Source organism: Homo sapiens, chromosome 9 (assembly GCF_000001405.40).
Source record: "Homo sapiens chromosome 9, GRCh38.p14 Primary Assembly".
Classification (NCBI taxonomy): domain Eukaryota; kingdom Metazoa; phylum Chordata; class Mammalia; order Primates; family Hominidae; genus Homo; species Homo sapiens.
In genome coordinates this window covers 124,165,226-124,175,036 of record NC_000009.12, presented here as the reverse complement: position 1 = coordinate 124,175,036, position 9,811 = coordinate 124,165,226, and the positions used below count along the sequence as shown (strand labels likewise).

The window sequence follows — 9,811 nt, the reverse complement described above, 5'->3', positions numbered from 1 at the left end:
CACCTGTAGTCCCAGCTACTGGTGAGGCTGAGGCATGAGAATCGCTTGAACCCGGGTGGCGGAGGCTGCATTGAGCTGAGATGGTGCCACTGCACTCCAGCCTGGGCGACAGAGCCAGACTGTCTCAATTTAAAAAAAAAAAAAAAAGTGAGATGAAAATGAAGATGTTTTGGACAGATTCTCTCTAAACAAATTTATTACTCACAGACTCTAAAGGAACTGCTCGAGAATGTATTCAAGAAAAAGAAAGTGAATACAAGGCCAAAAAAGACATAGAGTACAGGAAACAGTGATTTTAAAAAAAGTAAAACTTTGTAGCTAAGTCTAATATTTGCATAACATAATAGCAGCAACAGCTAGCGCAGCAATAGCAATGATGACAATAGCAATGTAGGAAAAAAACCCCACATGATTTCAATGCGGAATGTATTCAGGAGTAAGGATGGGAAGTGAAAGTGTCACTAACTTCTTCAAGGAGAGGACAGAAACACGGAGGAACTCTAGACATACATAGAAAAATGCAAGTTTAAATAGTCTTAAACATTTATTGGAAGGAGATTTCTGTTTCTCGGTAGGATATGGTAGGTTATGGCTGGCCAATCCTCTCACTTCATTAATTAGGTAAAAAGGAAGTAAATTGCAAAGTCATTAGAGGCATCACTGAGCTATGGTAAGGAGGTCAAGATGAACTAAAATCCAGAGAGGGAAGAATTCTCCCTAGGTAAGTTGGGGATCATGATGAGACCGCCTTTGCAAAATTATGACTGAGAAAGTGAAAGAGATCTAACTTAATCGACTCCCTGTTGCTTCTAACCTCCAAGCTGTCCTTTTTTATTCCTGGGCCTAGGCTGAACTAACTTTGGGAGAAACTTAGTTTAAACTTTATAGTTTAAAACAAAGTTTAAAGTTTAAAACAGCCCTTTCCCAAAGAAGACCTCCTTCTTGCCTGGGGACTAGATTGACCTTGTAGGACTAACATCGGCCACAAGATTAGAAATTATGGTTGAGGAGTCACGCAGCTGGAGGCTTCAAGATTCTGACCCTCCCTAAACTGCCCCTAAGATCAGTGTTTGAGATATTTTGCAGACCCTGCACTTGATGGATCAGCTGGCACCATTCGGATCAATAAACTGGCTCATCTGATCTTTTGACCCCCACCCAGGAACCCACTCAGCACAAGAAGGCAGCTTCTACTTCCGGTGATTTCATCGCTGACCAATCAGCACTCCCGGCTCACTGGCTTCCCCCCACCCACCAAGTTGTCCTTAAAAACCCTGCTCCCCAAATGCTCAGGGAGGCTAATTTAAGTAGTAATAAAAATCCAATCTCCTGCACAGCCGGCTGTGCGTGAATTACTCTCTATTGCAATTCCCCTGTCTTGCTAAATCTGCTCTGTCTAGGCAGCAGGCAAGGTGAGCCCCTTGGGGGGTTACGGTAGCTGTTTTCCTCTCTGGTAGCGTTTCCCACTTCTAGGCTTGGACTGCAGATCTCGCTTGACTCAGGCTGAGAGGCTGTGCTGAAGGAAAGAGAAGCCAAAAAAGCTTTTGGTGGCTTTCTTACAATGCCCACGTGATGGGTGAAAACTAAAGGAACTCCCAATGTGCGGCTGGTGTTCCTCGCAGAGCACTATTTGAGTTTTGGGTCTGCGTGGAGGCTGAGTGGCTGGGCCAAAAACTTCTGGAAAGTGGAGTGAAATCTCCTGTGGTTTCACTGTGCTGAATCCCAACAGAGGGAGGGGACTGCCACCGACACAGGGGATCCCTCCCATCAAGAGACTAAAGAACTAAGCTCAAACCTGCAAAGGGAGGATCTGAATCTCTCACCGTCATTTAGAGTGGACAAGATAGAGATCTTCCAACCTCTCAATCAGAAGCCCAGGAGAACCAGACCCAAAGAACAGGAGTGAATCAGAGATAGTCTGAGACTTACTAAAAGTGCAACTAGGTCTTGATCCACCTCGATTCCTGATTGTACTGAGGTGAGCAGCTTCCCCATCCTATCTGCTTAACAGAGGAATGGGGAAATCTGGAGCCTCTATGATTCTTTTATGCACAATGTGTGGCATAATTTTTTAAATTGTTAGATATGTACAGTGACAGGAAAATGTGACCAAATAATCAATAGAAGAAAAAAACAATAGAAGCAAAGCCATAGATAAACTAGATAAAGGAGTTACTAGACAAGGGCTTTAAAATAACTACAATTAGTGTGTTAAATAAAATTGTGGAAAAGATGGACAAAATGAATGCAAAGATGGAGAATATTAACAGATATTTGAAATGTACAAGCATAATCAAGTGAAAATAAGAATATCAAAACTAAAAAACTCATTAAATGAGCTTAACAGTAGTTTAGATACAGCTGAAAAGGTAATTAGTGAAGAGGGAAATAGGTCCAAAGAAAATATTTAGATAGGTCAGAAACATGGAAGAAGGCAAATGAATGGAAAATATAGAACGAAGACATAGGTGACACAGTGAAAAAAAAAAAAGCCTTCCTCTCTTTCCTCTATTATCACTGTATAATTATAGTTCCAGGAATAGAGAAGAAAGAAAATGGAGTAGAAAAACATTTGAAGAGATAATGACTGAGAATTTTTCAAAACTGCAAAATGGGAGTAAACTGCAAAAAATACAGGAAGTTCAGCAAACCCAGGAGGTTAAAAATAAGGAAAACCACATGAAAGGGCATTATAGATAAATTGTTGAAAACAAAAGATAGAGATTATTTTAAAATAGAAAGAGACACAGGGAGGAAAAAGACACATTACCCATCTTCAAAGACAGTAAGATGTAAAGCTAACTTTTCAGTGGAAATCACAGAAGACAGAACACAGCATAACGAAATTGTTAAAGTATAGAAGGGAAAATTCTGGCAACTTAGAATGCTACACACAACAAAATACTCTTCAAAACTGAAGGTGATGTCTTCTTAATGTTTCTCCAAAAATTTGAAAAAAAATACTGAAGGTGAAACAATAATATTTCAAATAAACAAAGGTTGAAAAATTTATTGCCGGAAGCTTCACAGAGTAAAGAAGTCTTCTTCAGATTAGGAAACTGAGTCCAGAGAGATGTACAGAACTTCAGGAAAGAATGAAGAAAAATAGACAAATACCAGGGCAAATATTTTTAAACTGTTTCTAACAATGATACAAATGTGTTGTGAAGCTTATACATAGATGAAAGTAAAATATATGATAACAATATCATAAAGATCACAAGGAGGTAAATGGAGTTAAATTATTTACTTCAGGAAACTGCATCATCTAGGAAGTGGTAAAAGGACTAAGTTAATACCTACAGATGTGGGACAATGTCAAACGGTCTAATATGCCTATAATTGGAATCCCAGAAGTAGAAGAGAGAGAGAGGAAACAGGTCAGAAGAAATATTTAAAGAGATAATGGCTGAGAATTTCCCTAAAATTAATGAAAGACAACAAATAACAAATCACAGATCCAGGAAGCTCAGAGAATGCCAAGGAGGATAATTTTTTAAAGAGAGAATTACATCATATTCAAACCCCTGAAAATTTATGAGAAAACCTTGAATCTTACAGGCAGCCAGAAATAAAAGGCACATTACATTCAAAAGTACGAGGATGGGAACTACAGCAGATCTCTCAGCAGAAACTACACAAGTTCAGAAGTTCTTAGAGTAACATCATTAAAGTATTGAAAGATAACATACCTGTCAATCTAAAATTTTCTACCTAGTAAGAATATCTTTCAAAAAACTTAGGAGAAATGAGAACTTTTTAGACAAAGACTGAGAACATTTATTACTGGCAGATCTTCACTGAACACATGTTAAAAGAACTTTTTTAGGTAGAAGGAGTAAGATATCTGAGACGGTTTGGATGTTTCTTCCGTCCAGATCTCATGTTGAGATGTAATCCTCAGTGTTGGAGGTGGGCCTGCTGGGAGGTGTTTGGATCATGGGGGAGGATTCCTAATGAATGGCTTAGCACTATCCCCTTGGTGATGAGTGAGTTCTCACTCTGACAGTTCACGTGAGGTCTGGTTGTTTAAAAATGTGGCACCTCGGCCAGGTGTGGTGGCTTACGCCTGTAATCCCAGCACTTTGGGAGGCGGAGGCGGGCAGATCATGAGTTCAGGAGATCAAGACCATCCTGGCTAACATGATGAAACCCCATCTGCACTAAAAAAATACAAAAAATTAGTCAGGCGTGGTGGCACGCACCTGTAATCCCAGCTACTTGGGAGGCTGAGGCAGGAGAATCGCTTGAACCCAGAAGGCGGAGGTTGCAGTGGGCCAAGATGGCACCACTGCACTCCAGTCTGGGCAACAGAGCAAGACTCCATCTCAAAAAAAAAAAAAAAAGGAAAAGTGGCACCTCCCTCTTCTCTCTCTTGCTCCCTCTCTCATCACATGATTTGCCTGCTCCCTCTTTGCCTTCTGCCATGATTGTAAGCTTGCCGAGGGCCTCCCCAGAAGCAGATGCTGGCACTATGCCTCCTGTACAGCCTGCAGCACTGTGAGCCAATTAAATCTCTTTTCTTTATACATTATCCAGTCTCAGATATTCCTTTACAGCAATGCAAAACGGACTAACACAATACCAGATAGCAGCTTGGATCTGTACTAAGAAATGAAGTGATGGAAATAGCCTAAATTAAATTAAATATAAAATTCAATGTATTATGGGTTTATAGTATATGTAAAAGTAAAATGTATGTTAAAATAGCACAAAGGATAGGAGAGAGAAATCAAAAGTATACCATTGTATGTTCCTTACACTACACATGAAACAGTATAATATTATTTGAAAGTAGATTGATATCAATAATATATGTGTATTATAAACCATAGGGCAACTACCAACATATTTTTAAAGCTGTATAAATAATAAGCCACTAGTGAGCATCATAAAAAAAATCAACCCAAAAGAAGGGGGAAAAAAGAAACAGAACAGATGGAACAAATAAAAAACAGCAAGCAAAATGCTATATTTTACTTTGGCCATTTCAATGATTTTATTAAGGCACAGAGTCTAAATACACCAAATAAAGAAAAATATTGTCAGGTTGGATTTAAAAAAATAGCAAGACCCAACTATATTCTGTCTACAAGAAACCCACTTTAAATATAAAAGCATAGACAGGGTAAAAATAAGAGTTAGAAAAGATAGACCTTCCAAACACTAATTAAAAGAAAATTAGAGTGGCTATATTAATATCAGACACAATAGACATCAGAACAAGGAGTATTGCTGTGGATAAAGAAGGAAATTACATAACAGTAAAGAAGTCAATTCACCAAGAAGACATAACAACACGTAACAACAGAGGTTCAAAAATACATGAAGCAAAATTTGATAGAATTGAGAGGAGAAATGGACAAGTCCACAATTATACATGGAGATTTCAACATTTTCCTCTAGTAATAAAAATAATAAGTAGGCAAAAACCAGAAAAATTATAGACAAAATGTCGTGAAACTTCACCTAATTCAATTTTAAAGAATACCCTGCCCAGCAACAGAAGAATATATATTCTGTTCAGGTGCACATGAAACATTAATCAAGATAGACCATATTCTGGGCCAAAAAATAAAAACAAATTTAAAATAATTGAATTTACCCAAAATATGTTATCATACATAATGGAATCGAACTGAAGATCAATAATAGGCTACAAAAAAATAAAATAAAATACAAAAAAGAAAAGATCAGTAACAGAAAGATAATTGGAAAATGGTTGGAAATGAAACCATACATTTATAGATGACCCCTGGGTCAAAGTATAAGTCACAAGGGCAATAAGAAAATATTTTAAAGTGAATAAAAATGAAAATACAATATATCAAAATTTATTGGATACAGCTAAAGCAGTATTTAGAGAAAATGTATAGCATCAAATATTTATATCAGAAAAGAATAAAGTTTCAAATCAATTATCTAAGTTCCTAAGTCAATAAACCAGAAAGACAATCAAATTAAACACAAATCAAATAGAAGAAAAGAAATGATAAAGATATGAGCAGAAATCAATGAAATTGAGAGTAGAAAAGTAATCAAATGAAACTATTAGCTTGTCATTGAAAACATTACCAGCATTCATAGATCTCTAATCAACCTGGCCAAGAATAAAGGGAGAGAAAATATAGGTTACAAATATTAGAAATGAAAGCTAGGATATGACTTTAGATGCTACAGACATTAAAGAAATAAGATAATTTGACAAAAAATTATATCTTCATAAATTTAACCACTTAGATAAAATGGACAAATTCCTTGAAAGGAAAGGTATCAACTATCAAAGCTCACTAAAGAAGAAATAAATAACCTGATTAGTCCGATATCTATTAAGAAAATCGAATTCATAGTTACAATGTTAAAACTTACAGCAAAGATAACTTCAAGCCCAGTTGGCTTTATTGGAGAATTATATCTAATATTTAAGGAAGAACTAACACCAATTATATGCAAACTTTTCCGTAATATATAAGAATATGGGCCTAGGCAATACCATCTTGGACATAGAAAGAGACAAAGATTTCATGACAAAGATGCCAAAAGCAATCGCAACAAAAGCAAAAACTGACAAATGGGATCCAATTAAATGTAAAAGCTTCTGCACATCAAAATAAACTATCAACAGAGTAAACAGACAGTGTACAGAATAGGAGAAAATATTTGCAAACTAAGCATCTGACAAAGTTCTAATATCCAGCATCTGTAAGGAACTTAAACAAATTTACAAGAAAAAGAAAACATTAAAAAGTGGGCAAAGAACATGAATAGACACCTTTCTAAAGAAGACATACATGTAGTCAACAAGAATATGAAAAAAGCTAAATATCACTGATCATTAGAGAAATGCAAATCAAAACAACAGTGAGACACCATCTCACACCAGTCAGAGTGACTATTATTAAAAAGTCAAAAAATAACATGCTGGTGAGGTTGTGGAGAAAAGGGAACGCTTATACACTGTTGGTGGGAGTGTAAATTAGTTCAACCATTGTGGAAAGCAGTGTGGCAATTCCTCAAAGACCTAAAAACAGAACTACCATTCAACCGAGCAATCACATTACTGGGTATATACCCAGAGATATAAGTCATTCTACCATAAAGACACGCACATGAATGTTCATTGCAACACCGTTCACAATAGCAAAGGCATGAAATCAACCTAAATGCCCATCAATGACAGACTGGAGAAAGAAAATGTGGTACATAGGCAACATGGAATACTATGCAGCCATTAAAAAATAACAGGATCTGTCTTTTGTGGGAATATGGATGGAGTTGGAGACCATGATCCTTAGCAAACTAACACAGGAACAGAAAACCAATACAGCGTGTTCTCACTTATAAGTGGGAGCTAAATGACGAGAACTCATGAACACAAGGGAACAACACACACTGCGGTCTACTTAAGGGTGGAGGGTAGGAGGAGGGAGAGGAGCAGAAAAAATAACTACCGGGTACTAGGCTTAGTATCTGGGTGACAAATAATCTGTACAACAAACCCCCTGTGACACCTATATAACATGTACCCCTAAACCTAAAATAAAAGTTAAAAAAAAAAAAAAGGAATAGGGACCAGTTTCCAACTCATTTTGTGAAGACAGCAAGGAAAACTTCAAACTAATATCGTTCATGAACATAGCTGCAAAAATCTTCCATGAAATACTAGAAAATCAAATCCAACAATATATAAACAGAAGTGTGGCTTAGTGGGATTTCTCATGGAAACACAAGGTCAGTTTAACATTTATAAAGCAATCAATTTAATTTACTAAATTAAAAGACAAAGGAAGAAAAAAACACGATGATTTCATTATATGAATAAATGTTTTAAAATAAAATTCAGCATCTATTTAGGATTAAAAAATCTCTCAGCAAACTAACAGAAGTTCCTCAACCTGGCAAACGGCATCAACAAGGCTCTTACAAGTAACATTGTATTTAATGGCGAAAGACTGAATACTTCCAGGCTAAGGTGAAGAACAAGGCAAGGATGTCAACCACTGCCCCCCTACAAGGCAAGGATGTCAACTACTGCTGCTCCTATTCAATGTTGTTTGTGAAGTCCCAGACGGTGCAATGAGGCAAGAAAGAGAAATAAAAGACACACAGTTTGGAAAGTAAGAAATACAACTCCATTCAGAGAGGACATGATTGTCTAGCAGAAAAATCTCAAAGAATCTAACAAAAGATACAAGAACTAAAGTGAATGAAGTTATGAAGTTTTCAGGATACAATGTAATACATTAAAATCAATTGTGTTTCAGTATAATAGCAATGAACAATTGTAAATCAAAATAAAATGTACCAATTACAATGGTATCGGCAAACGTAAAATGCTTTGGTATAAATCTAACAAAATATGTGCAAGATATGTGTTCTGAAAACTACAGAACACTGATGAAAGAAATCAAAGAAAACGTGTATAAATGGAGAGGTATACATTATTCATATATTGAAAAATTCAATATATTTAAGATGTCAATTCTCCTTAAACTGATCTATAGACTCAACACTATTCTAACTGAAATCTCAACAGAATGAGCTGATTGAAAATGTTAAGTGGAAAGGCAACAGAACTTGGATACCCAAAGTAATTTTGGAAAAAAAAGTAAAATTGAAAGACTCATATTACCTGGTTTCAAGACTTGGGATCAGTCATATCCCAAACCTCAGCATCATGCAATATATTCGGGTAACAAACTAACACAAGTACCCCTGAATCTAAAATAAAAGTTGAAATTATTTTTTAAAAAAGATTCATTATAAAACTCCGGTAGTCAAAACAGTTGGTGTTAGAGGAATGATAGATACAAAGAGCAATGGAACAGAGTAGAGTTCTGAAATAGACCTACCTATACATGGTCAGTTGATTTTCAACAAATATGCAAGGCAGTTAAACTCAGAAAGGATAGTCTTTTCAATAAACAGTACTGAAACAATTGCATATCCATATGGAAAAAAATGAACCTCCATCCATACTGTTCACCATACTCAAAATGAATCATAGGTGTAAGTGTAAAACCTAATACTATAAAACTTCTAGAAGAAAACTATGCAGAAATCTTTGTTACCTTGGATGAGCAAAGTTCTCTCAGCTATGACACCAAAAGCATGATCCATGAGAGAAACAAAAAACGAAAAATTGAACTTCACCAAAATTAAGAACTCCTCCTTTTTTAAAGACACTATTGGTTTGTTTGTTTGTTTGTTTGTTTGTTGTTTTTTGAGGCAGGGTCTCACTCTGTAGCCCAGGCTGGAGTGCAGTAGCAAGATCTCGGCTCACTGCGACCTCTGCCTCCCAGGTTCAAGCAGCCCTCCTGCCTCAGCCTCCCTAGTAGCTGGGACTACAGGTGTGTGCCACCACGCCTGGCTAATTTTTGTAGTTTTAGTAGAGACAGGATTTCCACATGTTGGCCAGGCTTGTCTTGAACTCCTGACCTCAGGTAATCCACCCACCTTGGCCTCCCAAAGTGTTGGGATTACAGGCTTGAGCCACCATGCCTGGCCTAAAGACACTATTGAAAGAATGAAAAGACAACCACAGACTGAGAAAAAATATTTTCAGCTTGTATATCTTACAAAGGATTTGTATCCAGGATAAGAAGGAACTCCCAAAGTTTAATAATGAGAAAACACACAACCTAATAAAAATATGGTCTCAAGATTTGAATAAATGGGAGATAATATACCAAACAAATTGTTTCAGCTCTTTATTGCTGAGTACCAAATAACTCCCAAACACGTAGTAGTGGAAAACAGTAACGATTTCTTATTTCTCAGTACTGTATGGGTCAAGATTTCTGTCAGGGCT

At 36.6% G+C, this 9,811-nt stretch overlaps 2 annotated features.

The window, feature by feature from the left end:
• Positions 336 to 405: an enhancer, noted in NCBI's record as "active region_28961". NCBI's record gives its function as "activates an Ori minimal core promoter by ATAC-STARR-seq in GM12878 lymphoblastoid cells {active_cell/tissue: GM12878}" and the evidence as "EXISTENCE:reporter gene assay evidence [ECO:0000049][PMID:35858748]".
• Positions 426 to 605: an enhancer, noted in NCBI's record as "active region_28960". NCBI's record gives its function as "activates an Ori minimal core promoter by ATAC-STARR-seq in GM12878 lymphoblastoid cells {active_cell/tissue: GM12878}" and the evidence as "EXISTENCE:reporter gene assay evidence [ECO:0000049][PMID:35858748]".